This window comes from Homo sapiens, chromosome 22 (assembly GCF_000001405.40).
Source record: "Homo sapiens chromosome 22, GRCh38.p14 Primary Assembly".
NCBI classification, from domain to species: Eukaryota; Metazoa; Chordata; class Mammalia; order Primates; family Hominidae; genus Homo; species Homo sapiens.
The window spans coordinates 40,890,387-40,908,247 of NC_000022.11; the positions used below are offsets into that span (position 1 = coordinate 40,890,387).

Genomic DNA, 17,861 nt, shown 5'->3' on the forward strand with positions numbered 1-17,861 from the left:
CAAAAATTTTTTTAAAATAGCCAAGTGTGGTGGTCCCAACTGCTTGGGAGGCTGAGGTAGGACGATCACTTGAGCTGGGGCAGTTGAAGCTGCGATGAGATGTGATCGTGCCACTGCACTCCAGCCTGGGCAACAGAGTGAGACCACATCTCAAAAAAGAATAATAAAATTTTAAAAAATAAAATTAACAAATAAGATGGCTGGATGCAGTGGCTCACGCCTATAATCCCAACACTTTGGGAGGCCAAGGTGGGCAGATCACTTGAGCCCAGGAGTTCAAGCCCAGCCTGGGCAACATGGTGAAACCCTGTCTCTGCAAAATATAAAAAAATTAGCTGGGCATGGTGGTACGCACCTGTAGTCCCAGCTACTCAGGAGGCCAAAATGGGAGGATCACATGAGCCCAGGGAGGTCGAGGCTGCAGTGAGCTGAGATTGCACCACTGCACTCCAGTCTGGGTGACAGAGTGAGACCCTGTCTCAATAAAGAAATAAAGAAATAGAAGACAAAATCGTGGTGTAATTATTTTGTCCCTCCCTATGCAATTTACCTCTTCTCATATACTGTATATTATTTCTCATAGGAGTCTAAATCAGAGGTCATATCTCTGCTCTTTCAAAATTCAAAACATCTTGAAAACAGCCAGATTTCCTTCTCAAAAAGTTACATGATTTGGCCAGATGTGGTGACTCATACCTGTAATCCCAGCACTTCGGGAGCCCAAGACGGGTGGATCACTTGAGCCCAGGAGTTTGAAACCAACCTAGGCCTCATAGTAAGACCCCATTTCTACAAAAAAAAAAAAAAAAAAAAAAAGTTTTTAATTAGCTGCATGTGGTGGCACATGCCTGTAGTCCCAGCTACTTGGGAGGCTGACATGGGAAGATCACTTGAGCCCAGGAAGTCAAGGCTTCAGTAAGCCACGATCATGCCACTGCACTCTGGCATGGGTGACAGAGACCCTTCCTCAAAAAGTTACATGGTTTAGCTGGGCGTGGTGGCTCACACCTGTAATCCCAGCACTTTGGGAAGCCGAGGCGGGCGGATCACAAGGTCAGGAGTTCGAGACCAGCCTGGCCTATATGGTGAAACCCCGTCTCTACTAAAAATACAAAAATTAGCTGGGCGTGGTGGCGGGCGCCTGTAGTCCCAGCTACTTGGGAGGCTGAGGCAGGGGAATCGCTCGAACCTGGGAGGCAGAGGTTGCAGTGAGCAGAGATCGCACCACTGCACTCCAGCCTGGGTGACAGAGTGAGACTCCATCTCAAAAAAAAAAAAAAGGTTACAAGGTTTGACAGATGTTCATTCTCAATGAGAAGGATCCTGCAACAGAACTCATTTATCTACCACAGAAAACACTAGTCCTGTTTAAAGTTTGTCCAGGATCCACAAACTGCACTACAGGAAAAGAATGCTTGGCACTCAGTTGCATTGTTGGAGCTGTTAAAAAGCACCTCAACAGGTTGCATCCTTTAGTTAGAATTTCCATAGACCAGAGGTTCCATGAGTCTCCCATGCATGCACAACGTGGGTTTCTGCTGTGGGAATCACTGGCAGTCGTGCTTGGGATACCTTGGACTCCATTTAAATTAAGATATCTGTAATGCAGCTTGTGTTAACATGCAAGCTTATTCCTTTTGTTGGGTTGCTTTGGGCATGCTGTCATAGTGCATGCTGTAAATTGTTAAGACCCATTTTGATAGCACTGTCTATCATTTCAAACAGCTTGCCACTTTTGTTCTTATTCCTGAAATAGGATGCCTTCAAGGCACACTCTTGGCATTGGCAAATGTATTTCTTTTCTTTTTTTTTTCTTTTTGAGACGGAATCGCTGTGTCACCAGGCTGGAGAGCAGTGGCACAGTCTCGGCTCACTGCAACCTCCGCCTCCCAGGTTCAAGGGATTCTTCTGCCTCAGCCTCCCAAATAGCTGGGACTACAGGCGTGCACTACCAGGCCCAGCTAACGTTTTTGTATTTTTAGTAGAGACGGGGTTTCACCATGTTGGCCAGGATGGTCTCAATCTCTTGACCTGGTGATCTGCCCGCCTCGGCCTCCCAAAGTGCTGGGATTACAGGTGTGAGCCACCACGCCTGGCTGGCAAATCTATTTCATCAGTATGTCTTTCCTCATTAAAAACAAATCCACCTGGCCAGTTGCTCCTAGCCTGGCTCCTAATTCCACTAAGGCTCTCTTATTTTGAGTGTGGGAACATGACATGTTGTCGCCATTAAATGTTAGTACAACTATTTGTACAACTGTTTCATTTGTACAACTGCTTTACTACAACTAGAAAATAAATTTGGGACCCCAAAATATTGAGTCCCCCAGGCTTACGTCATATGAGTGGTAGTCACACCTAAATAGACTCATTTCAATGTACTTTCCAGAATCATCCACATTGAATTTTGAATTCTCAGGAATATAGGGCCCACCAAGTTATACCTTGTTATTTATTTTTGTCACTGAGCCAAGTGTCCCAATTTTCTCTCCACCTCCTTATGCCTATTTACCCACAATAACAATGCAAATAGCTCTTTTTACACATATTATAACAGATGGAACATGGCATGAGACAGCATTCTGTCATCATATTCTGGTAACCTTTGTAAAACCGTTATCTTAATGGTTTTATGTGTTAGATTATTATCCATTGATTTTCAAATTTAACTGGCTAAATTTGAAATATTATTTATATTATATATTTAGTTTATATATAAATATATATAAATATATATTATATATTGTATATTATATATTTATATATTATAATATTATATCATAATATAATTAATATGCAAAACAGGTTGCTTTCCCAACACAGATCCTTTTTAATAGATACATCTGGCCGGGCGCTTATGCCTGTAATCCCAGCACTTTGGGAGGCCGAGGCAGGCGGATCACCTGAGGTTGGGAGTTTGAAACCAGCCTGACTAATACGGAGAAACCCAGTCTCTACTAAAATACAAAATTAGCCGGGCATGGTGGCACATACCTGTAATCCCAGCTACTCGGGAGGCTGAGGCAGGAGAATCTTTGAACCCAGGAGGTGGAGGTTGCAGTCAGCCGAGATAGCGCCATTGCACTCCAGCCTGGGCAATAAGAGTGAAACTCTATCTCAAAAAAAAAAAAAAAAAAAAAAAGATGCATCCTGTGAAACAGGAATCAAGATATAGCCTTATTTGTATTATTCCACATAGTCATGGATAGCTGTCACATTTCTTTTTCTTTTTTGTTTTTTGTGTTTTGAGATGGAGTTTCACTCTTGTTGCCCTGGCTGGAGTGCAATGGCATGATCTCAGCTCACCACAACCTCCACCTCCCAGGTTCAGGTGATTCTCCTGCCTCTGCCTCCCAGATAGCTGGGATTACAGGCATGTGCCACTACGCCTGGCTAATTTTGTATTTTTAGTAGAGACGAGGTTTCTCCATATTGGTCAGGCTGATCTAGAACTCCCAACCTCAGGTGATCTGCCCACCTCGGCCTCCCAAAGTTCTGGGATTACAGGTGTAAGCCACTGCACCCAGCAGCTGTCCCATTTCTTCATCCATTTTGAGGACATATGTCACTCCTGGAAGTGTGCTTGTTAGACTGGCTATTGCCTAGCTCTCTTTTTGGCTCTTCAAAAGAGGAGGAGAACGCCAGACATGGTGATGATGCCAGTAGTCCCAACTACCCAGGAGGCTGAGGGCAGGAGGATCGCTTGAGGCCAGGAGTTAGAAGCTATAGTAGACTATGATACAGGTGCTGCTATGATCATTTCTGTGAGTAGCCACTGCACTCACAGGCAACACAGCAAGACTCCGTTTCTTAAGAAAGGGGATTTCATAAGTTCTTTACTCCAAGGGGTATCTGAGTTAAAGCAAAGAGAGAATATTATTCTCTTGCTTTAAGCATCTCTTGAGACTCCAGAAGCATCTGTTGAGCTTCTGTACCACTCATTTATTGACTTCTTTCCCCTTAGCAACAACCTTGCCTTTCTTAATCATTTTTTAAATTTTTTTATTTATGTATAAAGTGTACAACATATTTTGATATACGTATGCATAATACAGTGGTTACTGCAGTCAAGCAAATGCCTTTATATTAATTTGAATGCAAACCTTTCCCGCTGAAGGAAACTTCCTCGGTCAGCTATTGAGCTAGTCTAATCATAGGGAGATAAATTGGATAAATACAGAAAATGACACTATACTGTTGGCAGCCAGGACAATTTTTATTAATAGTTTAAGCTTCAATGGAGCCCACTGGTATATGTCATTGTTCAGTGCGTCACTGGCTGGCTTGAGTTCCTCCACCCATTTCATAGACTTGGTTGCCATTTCAAGAGATCAAGTTAGGCCATCAACTGTTGGTTCCAATCACCTTAAAATTCTGGCATAGAGTTTCTTTGGGATCAGCATGCCCTACTTTGATTTTTCCCTTAGAATTTTCATAGAGATTTCCAAAGAGCAGCTCCTCACATGGAGGGCCCTTCTATTGTCCAGTTATTTGTGACCCACTTGTTAGACCAATTGCAAGTCCATTAGTGACAGCCCAAGAATCAATATTTACCCAAATAATAGGGCTTTTGTGTCCAGTTCTTCTATCAGGACTATGATTATAGCCTATAATTCAGCCCTGTTGACCAACTCGTTCTTAACTTTTTCCATAGGATTTTACTTTCTGCTGGACTCTGAACATCTACTTTTCATACAGAATTGCCCTCAGTTCTAGAACAGTCATCTGTGAACCAGTCCAATTGCCTGGCATCCATGGGCAAATAATTGAAAGGAGGGATCCTAGGAGGAAAAGACTACTTGCTCATGAATCTGATGATTCTTTCACATAGATCCCCTGGTAGCATGCTGCATATAGTTCATTTCCATTTTATGACAGAACTTCTTTGGACATTGTCCATCTTATTGAAATGCATTTCTTTTTTTCTTTTTAATAGAGATTAGTGCTTTTCTTTTCTTTTTTTTTTTGAGGCAGAGTTTTGATCTGTCGCCCAGGCTGGAGTGCAATGGCGCGATCTCGGCTCACTGCAACCTCTGCTTCCCGGGTTCAAGTGATTCTCTGCCTCAGCCTCCCAAGTAGCTGGGATTACAGACGCCCACCAGCACGCCCGGCTTATTTTTGTATTTTTAGTAGAGACAGGGTTTCACCATGTTGCCCAGGCTAATCTTGAACTGCTGACCTCAGGTGATCCACCCACCTCAGCCTCCCAAAGTACTGGGATTACAGGCATGAGCCACCGCACCCGGCCCAGACTTTTTTAAATTAAAAAATTTATAACTTTTAAAAAAAATTGAATTATAGACTTGAACCCTGGACTCTCACATTAAAAATCTGATGCTTGACCAACTGAGCTACACAGACTTCTAACCAGACTTTTTATCCCTTTCACAGCAGCATCCCCACATCCCATGAGTTAATTCTGTCATTCTTAAGTTCTTCATTAAGAGGCCCAGACAGTATCGTACACTGTCTTACTCCATCCAGTAGATGTAAAAGAGTTTCTTTTCCACCTCCAGGCCATTTTACTCACACATTTGTGAAAGGTCTTGTGTTCCCTGCCAGGAGTTGGGATTATGAGATCCTGGCCTATATATCAACGTTCTTCATCTCTTACCATGCTGATATTAAAACACAGCATTTTGACATCTAATGTTAGAGACTCATTGGAACCTTTCTCTTTCTAAAATTCCTTTAAACTCAGATAATAAACATATCTGCCTTGGGATTTTTATAGTCTGAGGAGTTTAATGACAGGCAGTTGTGGATCCCAAACCTTCCTGTAAAATTCTATCAGGGTTGGCCCTCTGTCAATTTTTGTATCATTATTTTTGGAGAAACAGGGTTTCACCATGTTGGCCGTGTGAGCTCCTGAGCTCGAGCACTCTGCCCACCTCGGCCTCCCAAAGTGCTGGGATTACAGGCAAGAGCCACCATGCCTGGCCTCTGTGTGTTTTTTATTTAATCGTGGTGAGATGCATATAAAATTTTATCATTTTAGGCCTAGCACGGTGGCGCATGCCTGCAATCCCAGCACTCTGGGAGGCTGAGGCAGGCGAATCACTTGAGGCCAGGAGTTTGAGACCAGCCTGGGCAACAAGGCGAAACCCCGTCTCTACTAAAAATATAGAAAATTAGCCGGGCGTGGGACACATGCCTGTAATCCCAGCAACTTGGGAGGTGGAGGTTGCAGTGAGCCGAGATCATGCTATTGCACTCCAGACTAGGCAACCGAGAGAGACTCTGCAAAAAAAAAAAAATTTACCATTTTAGCCATTTTTAAGTGTATGTCTTAAAAATGGCTAAAATAGAAATTCAATGACATTAGGTATATTCACACTGTGTGTGACTATTACTACTATCTTTTTTCAGACTTTTTTATCATCCCAAATAGAAATTGTACTCAATAAATAATAACTTCCCATTCTTCCCTCCTCCCAGCCCCTGGTAACTTTTACTTTTTCTGTGACTCTGCCTATTCTAATTACTTCATATAAGTAGAATCATACAGTATTTGTCTTTTTGTAACTGGCTTACTTCACTTAGTAAAATGTTTTCAAAGTTCATGTTGTAGCATTTTTCAGAATGACATTCCTCTATGGCTGAATGGTATTCCATTGTATGTATAGACAATGTTTCCTTCATCTTTTTTTTTTTTTTTTTTTTTTGAGACGGAGTTTCGCTGTTGCCCAGGCTGGAGTGCAGTGGCGCAATCTCGGCTCACTGCAGGCTCCGCCGGGTTCACGCCATTCTCCTGCCTCAGCCTCCTGAGTAGCTGGGACTACAGGCACCCGCCATCACGCCCGGCTAATTTTTTTGTATTTTTAGTAGAGATGGGGTTTCACTGTGTTAGCCAGGATGGTCTCGATCTCCTGACCTCGTGATCTGCCCACCTCGGCCTCCCAAAGTGCTGGGATAACAGGCGTAATCCACCGTGCCCGGCCTCCTTCATCTTTTCATCTGTCATTGGACACTTGGGTTGTTTCCATCTTTTGGGCTATGGTGACTAATGCTGCTATGTACCTGGGTTTACAAATAATTATTCAGGTCCCTGCTTTCAGTTCTTTGGGGTATATACCCAGAAGTAGAATTGTTAGATCTGTGGTGAGTCTGTGTTGTTTTTTTTTTTCTTTTTTTGAGACAGAGTCTCCATTTGTTCCCAGGCTGGAGTGCAGCAGCACCATCTTAGCTCCCTGCAGCCTCGAACTCCTGGGCTCATGTGATCTTCCCACCTCAGCCTCCTGATTATACATTTAATTTTTTGAGAAACCACCATATAGTTTTCCACAGCAAATGGACCATTTCACATTTCTACCAGCAATGCACAAGGGTTCCAGTTTTTCTACATTCTTGCCAATCGATACTTGTTATTTTCTGCCTTTTGAGTACTAGCCATCTTAATGAGTGTGAAATGACATCTCATAGTTTTTATTTGCATTTCATTAACAGCTAGTGATGTTCAGCATATTTTCATGTGTTTATTGGTTATTTGTATATCTTATTTGGAGAAATACCTGTTCAGTTCCTTTGCCCATTTTTTAAATTGGGCTGGATTTTTTTGTTGTTGAGTTGTGGGAATTCCTTATATGTTTTTGATATTAACTCTTAATCCGGTATATGGTTTGCAAATATTCTCCCATTATGAGGGTTGGCTTTTTACTATTCATAGCGTCCTTTAATGCTCAAAATGTTTTAATTTTTATAAAGTCCAGTTTTTTTGTTGTTGTTAACTGTGCTTTTGGTGTCATATCCAAGAAAATATTACCAAATCCAGTGTCATAAAGGTATTCCCCTATGTTTTCTTCTAAGAGTTTTATGTTTTATGTTTAGGTCTTTGACCCATTTTTTTTTTTTTTTTTTTTTTTTTTTTTTTTTTTTTTTGAGACGGAGTCTCGCTCTGTCGCCCAGGTCGGACTGCGGACTGCAGTGGCGCAATCTCGGCTCACTGCAAGCTCCGCTTCCCGGGTTCACGCCATTCTCCTGCCTCAGCCTCCCGAGTAGCTGGGACTACAGGCGCCCGCCACCGCGCCCGGCTAATTTTTTGTATTTTTAGTAGAGACGGGGTTTCACCTTGTTAGCCAGGATGGTCTTGATCTCCTGACCTCATGATCCACCCGCCTCGGCCTCCCAAAGTGCTGGGATTACAGGCGTGAGCCACCGCGCCCGGCCGACCCATTTTGAGTTAATATTTATATATGGTATAAACTAAGGGTCTAACCTTATTCTTTTTCATGCCCCATTTCTTTCTTGATTTTATTTCTTTTATAAAGTCCTAAACTTACTATCTTTTTATTATCCAGGAAGTTGGGATAAAAGATCTTAAACTGCCTTTTTACATCTTCCTGAGATCTAACAGCAAAGTCACATATGAAGTTCATGCTGGTGGATGCCTTTTATCACAGTATCATTCATAACCTGGGTGAGGGGTATCCCATAATGGAGTTCATTTATGTCCTCATACAACCAGAACCGTACTGTCTGCATCCACAGCATTTCTGTAGCTTCAGGAGGCACTGACTATGTGATGAGGGAGGGGCAGGACAGTTGCCCATATCTAGATACATATGATAGGCCCCTCCCTTCATCCATTTTAATAAACTAGGGGTTTCCCTGCAAACCTTTCTCACTCAGCAATATTCAAAATGAGAGATACTGTTCTTTGATCTAAAATTCTCAGGAACCATTTTTAAAGAGTTCCTCAGGGTATTGCATGTAATAGTCTAGAAAATGGCTCATTTTCTTCACTGAATAGCCCCTTATGTCCATGGTTTTTTACCCATCGCTGTCAACTTGCCACTCGAATTATTTTAGCTGTGGTTGGTCTCAGCTGACTCATCAAAAAAATGATAGTAGCCCAGTTTCTTTGGGTTAGAGCTCCATCTGTTGATCAAAAAGAAGCTCATCTAAAAGAGATTCTGAGCTTACTTTCAGCCAGCACTGAAGGCACTAACCAAACTATTGAATATTTAGCAGACCTACCAGCGATTCAGAATTCCCTCCCAATCCATTTTGCTAGCTCGTGAAGTTCAGGGTCTATCATTTCCACATTCCATGATTTCAAAGCATGTGCCATATCAAACCAAGGATGAATTTTTTTAAAAATGAGTCAGTTCTGCTGGGACAGATGGATATCCATATGCAAAAGAATGAAGTTGTGCCCGGGCACAGTGGCTCACACCTGTAATCCCAGCATTTTGGGAGGCCAAGGTAGGTGGATCACGAGGTCAAGAGATAAGACCATCCTGGCCAACATGGTGATACCTCATCTCTACTAAAAATACAAAAATTAGCTGGATGTGGTGGTGGGCGCCTGTAATCCCAGCTACTTGGGAGGCTGAGACAGGAGAATTGCTTGAACCTGGGAGGTGGAGGTTGCAGTGAGCGGAGATCACGCTACTGCACTCCAGCCTGGTGACAGAGCGAGACTCTATCTCAAAAAAAAAAAAAAAAAAAAGGAATGAAGTTGTACCCCTACTTCACACCTTATCTAAAAATTAACTTAATTAGCCAGGTGTGGTGGCATATGCCTGTAATCCCGAATACTCGGGAGGCAGTCTCCCTTTGTTCCCAGGCTGCACTGTGGTGATAGGAGAATCACTTGAACCTAGGAGGCGGAGATTGCAGTGAGCCAAGATTACACCACTGCATTCCAGCCTGGGCAACAGAGCAAGACTCTATCTCACAAATTAAATAAATACATAAATAAAATGGATCAGTGACCTAAACTTAAGAGCTCAAATTATAAAACTATTAGGAAAAAACATAAGGGTGAATCTTCATGACCTTAGATTTGCCAAAGGATTCTTAAAGATGATACCGAAAGCACAGGCAACAAAAGAAAAAGTAGATAAATTAGAATTTATCAATGTTTAAAACTTCTCTACATCAAAGGGTACTTTTCTCACACTGAGAAACAGCCTTAGGAAAAAAAAAAAAAAAGGCCGGGTACGGTGACCCACGCCTATAATCCCAGTACTTTGGGAGGCTGAGGCCGGTGGATCACCTGAAGTCAGGAGTTCAAGACCAGCCTGGCCAACATAGTGAAACCCCGTCTCTATTAAAAATACAAAAAATTAGCCAGGCATGGTGGCGGGTGCCTGTAATCCCAGCTACTGGGGAGGCTGAGGCAGGAGAATTGCTTGAACCTGGTAGGTGGAGGTTGTCATGAACCGAGATCGCACCACTGCATTCCAGCCTGGGCAACAGAGCAAGACTCTGTCTCAAAAAAAAAATAATTAAACTTAATTTAAGAATAAATTAAAAGGCTAAGTGCAGTGGCTCATGCCTGTAATCCCAACACTTTGAGAGGCCAAGGTGGATGGATCTTTTGAGCCCAGGAATTTGAGACCAGCCTGGGCAACATGGCAAAACCCCATCTCTATGAAAAATACAAAAATAAGTTAGCTGGGTGTGGTGGCATGTTCCTGTAATTTCAGCTACTCACGAGGCTGAGGTGGGAGGATCACCAGAGCCTGGGTGGCAGAGGCTTCAGTGAGCCAAGATCACAGCACTGCACTTCAGCTTGGGTAACAGAGTGAGACCCTGTCTCAAAACAATAATGATCTTAAAAAATAATAAAAAACAAAGGGAATGGGTGTGGTGGCTCATACCTGTAATCCTTGCATTTTGGGAGGCCAAGGCAAGGAAGATCAGTTGAACTCAGGAGTTCAAGAGCAGCCTGGGCAACATAGTGAGACCTCCTCTCTTTTTATTAAAAAAAAAGAATTTAAAATAAAAAACTTTAAAAAATTGTTTAAAAGGACACTATCAAGAAAGTGAAAAAACGGAATGAGAGAAAATATTTGCAAATCATATATCTGATAAGGTTCTAGTATCTAGAATATTTAAAGAACTTTTTTTTTTTTTGAGATGGAGTTTCACTCTTCTCTCACCCAGGCTGGAGTGCAATGGCCCAATCTCTGCTCACCGCAACCTCCACCTCCCAGGTTCAAGCAATTCTCTTGCCTCAGCCTCCCAAGTAGCTGGGAATACAGGCATGCACCACCACGCCCGGCTAATTTTTGTATATTTAGTAGAGATGGGGTTTCTCCATGTTGGTCAGGCTGGTCTCTAACTCCCGAACTCAGGTGATCCACCCGCCTCAGCCTCCCAAAGTGCTGGAATTACAGGCGTGAGCCACCACGCCGGGCCTATTTAAAGAACTCTTACAGTTCAACAACAGGCCAGGGACAGTGGCTCATGCCTGTAGGCCCAGCTACTTGAGAGGCGGAGCTACTTGCGCTACCACGCCTGGCTAATTTTTGTATTTTTTGTGAAGACTGGGTTTCACCATGTTGCCAAGGCTGGTTTCGAACTGCTGGACTCAAGCAATCCACCCACCAAAGTGCTGGGACTACAGGCGTGAGCCACTGCGCCCGGCTATATGACTCCATTTATATGAAATATGCGGAATAGGTAAACCCGTAGAGACAAAAAGCAGATTAGAGGATATCAGGGAATAGGGTGAGAGGAGAATGGGAATTAACTGCTTAATGGGTAAGGGATTTTCTTTTCTGGTGATGAAAATGTTTGGGAACTAGAGAGAGGTGGTGGTTGCAAAACATTGTGAATGTACTAAATGTCACTGGGTTGTTCATTTTGTTGGTTAATTTATATGATGTGAATTTTATCTCAGTAAAAAATCAAGAATGAATTAGGTGTCTTCTAAACATTCCTTACTTTTCCTTCTTTTTTTTTTTTTTTTTTTGAGATGGAGTCTCGCTCTGTCGCCCAGGCTGGAGTGTGGTGGCGTGATCTCGGCTCACTGCAACCTCCGCCTCCCAGGTTCAAGCGATTCTCCTGCCTCCTGCCTCAGCCTCCCAAGTAGCTGGTATTACAGGCGCCTGCCACCATGCCTGGCTAATTTTTTTTTTTTTTTTTTTTTTGAGGTGGAGTCTCGCTCTGTCGCCGAGGCTGGAGTGCAGTGGCGCGATCTTGGCTTACTGCAAGCTCCACCTCCCGGGTTCACGCCATTCTCCTGCCTCAGCCTCCCAAGTAGCTGGGACTACAGGCGCCTGCCACACGCCCAGCTAATTTTTTTGTATTTTTAGTAGAGATGGGGTTTCACCATGTTAGCCAGGATGGTCTCGATCTCCTGACCTCGTGATCCGCCCACCTCGGCCTCCCAAAGTGCTGGGATTACAGGCATGAGCCACCACACCCAGCCAATTTTTGTATTTTTAGCAGAGACGGGGTTTCACCATGTTGGTCAGGCTGGTTTCAAACTCCTGACCTCGTGATCCGCCTGCCTCGGCCTCCCAAAGTGTTGGGATTACAGGCGTGAGCCACCAGGCCTGGGCAACACTCCTACTTCTAAGTGGCAGTTAAATAGAGTTCAATTGTTAAAGAAGACCTAGAGATAGTGCTTGCAAATACACAGTCATTACAGGAAAAAGGTTTCATATAGCAACTGCATTAAAGTTAAAGATATGTATCACAGCCTGTGGCTGTCTCACAGCAAGGAGTCTGGAGAAGCCAGGTGCAGACTCCTCTGTTTTTCTCCCTACGTAAGGGCTTGGTGGTTCTCTCACAGACCAGGAACCAGTGATGAATGCCCAGAACACCTCAGAACCCAAGAGCCTAAAATGGAATCTCACTTAGGATTTTTTATTTTGGTCACATAGGCATATCCCTGCTACATAATGGTAAAGCCCTCTGACGAGCTCATGGAGACCCAGTACAAAGCATTGATCTGTTACCAGTACTGACAAGCTGATACAAACTGCTCTGAAACTCCCTGCAACACTGTTTATCAGTATGCTTCAGGCCGTGGCCCAAATCAGTGTCATACAGGAACTTTAGCAGAACAGCTCAGGCTAATTTCAGACCTGCTGGAATTAAGCCTCACAGCATAATAGCACACAAACATTTCAGGCCTGCTTCTCTATATTCTACCTTTAGTCTTCCAAAGTTAAACGTTCTGTTTTCCTTAACCATTCCTCATATGTTATATTTCCCCTCATTTTGGTAACCCTCTTCTGTGTGCTGTCTAGTTTGTTAATATCCTTCAAGTACAGTGTTCACTGCTAGCCCCAGCCAGACCAGCAAAGACTACTTAATACTTAAACAAGTGTGATGGACGTACATCTGTGTCTTCCTTCAAGTCATTGATTTTTTTTTTTTTTTAAGATGGAATCTTACTCTGTCGCCCAGGCTGGAGTGCAGTGGTGCGATCTAGGCTCACTGCAACCTCCGCCTCCCGGGTTCAAGCAATTCTCTGCCTCAGCCTCCCAAGTAGCTGGAATTACAGGTGCCCGCCACCATGCCCGGCTAATTTTTGTATTTTTAGTAGAGACAGGTTTTCACCATTTTGGCCAAGCAGGTCTTGAACTCCTCACCTCGTTATCTACCTGCCTCAGCTTCCCAAAGTGCTGGGATTACAGGTGTGAGCCACTGTGCCCAGTCTCAAATCATTGATTTTTAAAATAAGGAAGCTAAGAAAAGATCCATGGGACAATGTTAAGGGATCCCTCCCCCCATCTCTCTCTCTGTCACACACACACACACACACACACACACACACACACACAAGTTTCATGAAATGGTTTGTGAAATGCTTTTTCTCTCTACTCTCCCTTCTCCATTAGCTTTACAGTGTTCATTTGTAATGTGTTCTGATTATGAGATGCAGGGTGAAATGCAAAGAAAGCCCATTTTACATTTTTTAACAGTCAAAATACAAACATTCAGGTAGCACTTAGTGAAGTAAGAGTGTTAAGTCTTTATTGGGAGTATGGGCTATGTTGTGACAAGACAGTCCTAAGAAGTGCCAATCATAAAGTCTAACTCTTGATCTTTACTGGAAGGACATCAAGCATATAGTAAGGATAGGTAGCATTTGAACTGCATATCATGTGTACCTGGAATGCTCTGTAAAGAAATTGACTCATAGGAGGCACATTCCTTACAAAAAGAAGTAAAGCAAGATTAGGCATTTGATCACCTAGGAAGGAGGAGGAACTTTTGTATCCTGTTGAGTCTGCATAACAGTTTGAAAGAGTCATGACTGTCCTGGCACAATGGTGTGCACCTACAGTCCCAGCTACTCAGGAGGCTGAAGCAGAAGGATCGCTTGAGCCCAGGAGTTCAAGACAGTAGTGCACCATGATTGTGCCTGTGAATAGCCACTGCCCTCCAGTGTGGGCAACATAGCAAGACCCCATCTCTTAAAAAAAAAATTTTTTTAAGCCATGACAACAATTATCTATGCCAGGCAATAAGGGTTCAAAGCAAAATTAATAAAAAGACAAATCCCTCTTTTGAGTGAATGAAGCCACTAGGACTGCCATATGTTTTAGGTTTCATGCTAAAAATATAGTGCTGAATAAGTTATTTGTCAACATTTGTGATTGTGTGTGCAAGTGTCCTTTAATTGATTTTTTAATTTTTTTATTTTTTTTGAGATGGAGTCTTGCCGTGGTACCCAGGCTGGAGTGCAGTGGCACGATCTCAGCTCACTGCCACCTCCACCTTCCGGGTACAAGTGATTCTTCTACTTCAGCCTCCTGAGCAGCTGGGATTACAGGTGCCCACCACTATGCCCAGCAAATTTTTTGTATTTTTAGTGGAGACAGCAGGATTTCACCATGTTGGCCAGGCTGGTCTCGAACTCCTGGCCACAAGTGATCTACCTGCCTCAGCCTCCCAAAGTGGGATTACAGGCGTGAGCCACCACACTCAGCCATTTAATTTTTTTTTTTTTAATTTTTTTTTTGAGATAGAGTCTCACTCTTGTCACCCAGGCTGGAGTGCAGTGGCATAATCTCGGCTCACTGCAACCACTATCTCCCAGGTTCAAGCAATTCTCCTGCCTCAGCCTCCCGAGTAACTAGGACCACAGGCGCGTACCACCACGCCCAGCTAATTTTTTTGTATTTTTAGTAGAGACCGTGTTTCACTGTGTTAGCCAGGATGATCTTGATCTCTCCACCTCGTGAACCACCGCCTCGGCCGCCTGAAGTGCTGGGATCACAGGCATGAGCCACCACACCCGGCCCCTTTAATTGATTTTAATTGTTCATTATCCAGCAGATATTTACTGAACACCAACTGTGTGCCAGGCACTGCTCTGGGTTCTGAGGATACATTAGTGAGCACAATAGACTATCCATGCTCACTCTTCACAGTTACATTCTGGTGGAGGAGAGACAGTAAGCAAACAAGACATGAAGTCATCTGGAATTAAATGCTATGAAGAAAAGTGAAGCAGTGAAGGGGGATGAAATGTGATGGAAGGTGCTAATTTAGATGGGATAGTCGGGAAGGGCCTCTATGAGGAGGAAACATTTGAGGAAAGATTTGAATGAAGAAAGGGAGCAAACCATGTAAATATTCCCACCATTGCACCACTTGCTTTTACTCTTTTGGGCATTTTGGCAATGCCGTTCAACCTCATACTATGAAATGTTTTCATGTTTTCTTTTTTTTTTAGACAGAGTCTCGCACTGTGGCCCAGGCTGTAGTGCAGTGGCACGATCTCGGCTCACTGCAACCTCTGCCTCCCAGTTCACGTGATTCTCCTGTCCCAGCCTCCTGAGTAGCTGGGATTACAGGTGCACACCACCATACCCAGCTGATTTTTTGTATTTTTAGTAGAGATGGGGTTTCCCTATGTTGGATAGACTGGACTCAAACTCTTGACCTCATGATCTGTCCACCTCAGCCTCCCAAAGTGCTGAGATTACAGGCTTGAGCCAACGCACCCAGCCTGTTTGTTTGTTTGTTTGTTTGTTTGTTTTTAGAGAGATAGTGTCTCACTATGTTGCCCAGGCTGGTCTCGAGCTCCTGAGCTCAAGCGATCCTCTCATCTCAGCGTCCTGAAGTGCTGGGTTACAGGTGTGAGCCACCCTGGGAGGCTGAAAACATTAAAAATTATGAAAAATTTAAAAATTAGCTGGGCATGGTGGCATGCATCTGTAGTCCCAGCTACTTAGGAGGCTAAGGCGGGAGGATCACTTGAGCCCAGGAGTTTGAGGCTGCAGTGAGTTCTGATCACTCCACTGCACTCCAGCCTGTGGGATGGAGTGAGACTCTGTCTCAAAAAAAAAAAAAAAATGCACACACATATAGTGTGGTTATCACAGAGAATTAATAAAATTACTTATACTGTAGGTCAGTGATTCTCAGTGGGAGAGCAGTGTTGTCCCCTAGGGAGCATTTTGGTAGTGTCCTGTTGTCACAATTGGGAATGCTTCTGGCATCCTACATTGAACAGGACAGCTCTCCCACGAGGAATTATCTGGCCCCAAATGTCAGTAGTACTGAGGCTGGGAAACGTTGCTATAGACTAGGCCATTCAATCCATAATTTCATACATGGGGCTATTGAGGTATTTTGTTACATAAATAACAAATGTATATCTTAGTATGTTTGTCCTGCTATTACAAAGTACCTGAGATTGGATAATTTATAAGCAATAGAAATGTATTTCCTCATAGTTCTGGAGGCTGGGAAGTCCAAGGTCAAGGTGCCAGCAGATTCAGTGTCTGGTGAAGGGAAATTCCTGATAGGGGGCACCCTCTAGGTATCCTCATATGGCAGAAGAGACAGAAAATCAAGAGGGGCCAAACTCACTCCACCAAGCCCCATTATGGTCACTTATCCCATCTATGAGGGCAGAGCCCTCGTGATTTAATCACTACCCAAAAGGCCTCACTTCTTACTGTCACCCCAATGGGGATTAAATTGCAACGTGAATTTTGGAGGGGACACATTCAAGTCAAAGCAAAATGTTTTCCTTTCAGAAATCCGTATTATTGGCCCGGCACGGTGGCTCACGCCTGTATTCCCATCACTTTGGGAGGCCAAGGTAGGCGGATCACGAGGTCAGGAGATCGAGACCATCCTGGCTAACACAGTGAAACCCCGACTCTACTAAAAATACAAAAAATTAGCCGGGTGTGGTGGCGGGCGCCTGTAGTCCCAGCTACTCGAGAGGCTGAGGCAGGAGAATGGCGTGAACCCAGGAGGCAGAGCTTGCAGTGAGCCGAGATCGCGCCACTGCACTCCAGCCTGGGCAACAGAGCGAGACTCCGTCTCAAAAAAAAAACAAAAAAAACTGTATTATTACCCCCAGTAGGTCACAACTTCAGGCTGACGAAATTGTGGGAAAAGGTGCTTTTCATTTGAGCTCCAGTATTTTGAATGTTTGAGTAAGCAACATAGAATGAGATCGTGTTCTTTTCATCCTCCTTTCTCTTTGCAGGCTTTCATAGAAACCATGTTCACCAGTAAAGCCCCTGTGGAAGAAGCCTTTCTTTATGCTAAGGTGAGATTCAGATGGTTAGCTTCACCATCTTGTTGGAGGTGAATATAATAATTTGATTTGCAGAAATGGCAGTGCAGTCTGCTTTTGTGATAGTGATGACCAGCATGTCATTGGAGAGGATTTGGTTCTGAAATATCACTGGTCATTTATAAGTCTAAAATATACTACGTTACAATTAAAGGAAGAAAATTGCAAAGTAGCACAGATGATGATGAAGGGAAGATTTAGCAATGTGAGGTGACAAAAGTAATACTGTTTAGGTCAATGTGAAGAAGAGGCTGAGGGCTGGGCGTGGAGCTCATGCCTGTAATCCCAGCAGTGTGGGAGGCCAAGGCGGGCAGATCACTTCAGGCCAGGAGTTTGAGACCAGCCTGGCCAACGTGGCAAAACCCCATCTCTACTAAAAATACAAAAATTAGCTGAGTGTGGTAACGTATGCCTGTAATCCCAGCTATTCAAGTGGCTGAGACACGAGAATCACTTAAACCTGGGAGGCACAGTTTGCAGTGAGCCAAGATCATGCCACTGCACTGCACTCTAGCCTGGGCAACAGAGCAAGACTGTTTCAAAAAAAAAAAAAGAGGCTGAGGCCAGGCGT

General features: G+C 43.6%; 1 protein-coding gene across 1 annotated transcript in view; it reads left to right on the plus strand.

Annotated features, from left to right (window-relative positions):
- The window catches only part of XPNPEP3 (X-prolyl aminopeptidase 3), a 75,668-nt gene that overhangs the window by 33,239 nt on the left and 24,568 nt on the right, over positions 1-17,861 (plus strand). Inside the window, exon 5 of the mRNA NM_022098.4 lies at positions 17,201-17,263. Within this exon, the coding sequence (NP_071381.1) occupies positions 17,201-17,263 (63 nt within the window). The remainder of the gene's footprint in view (positions 1-17,200; positions 17,264-17,861) is intronic.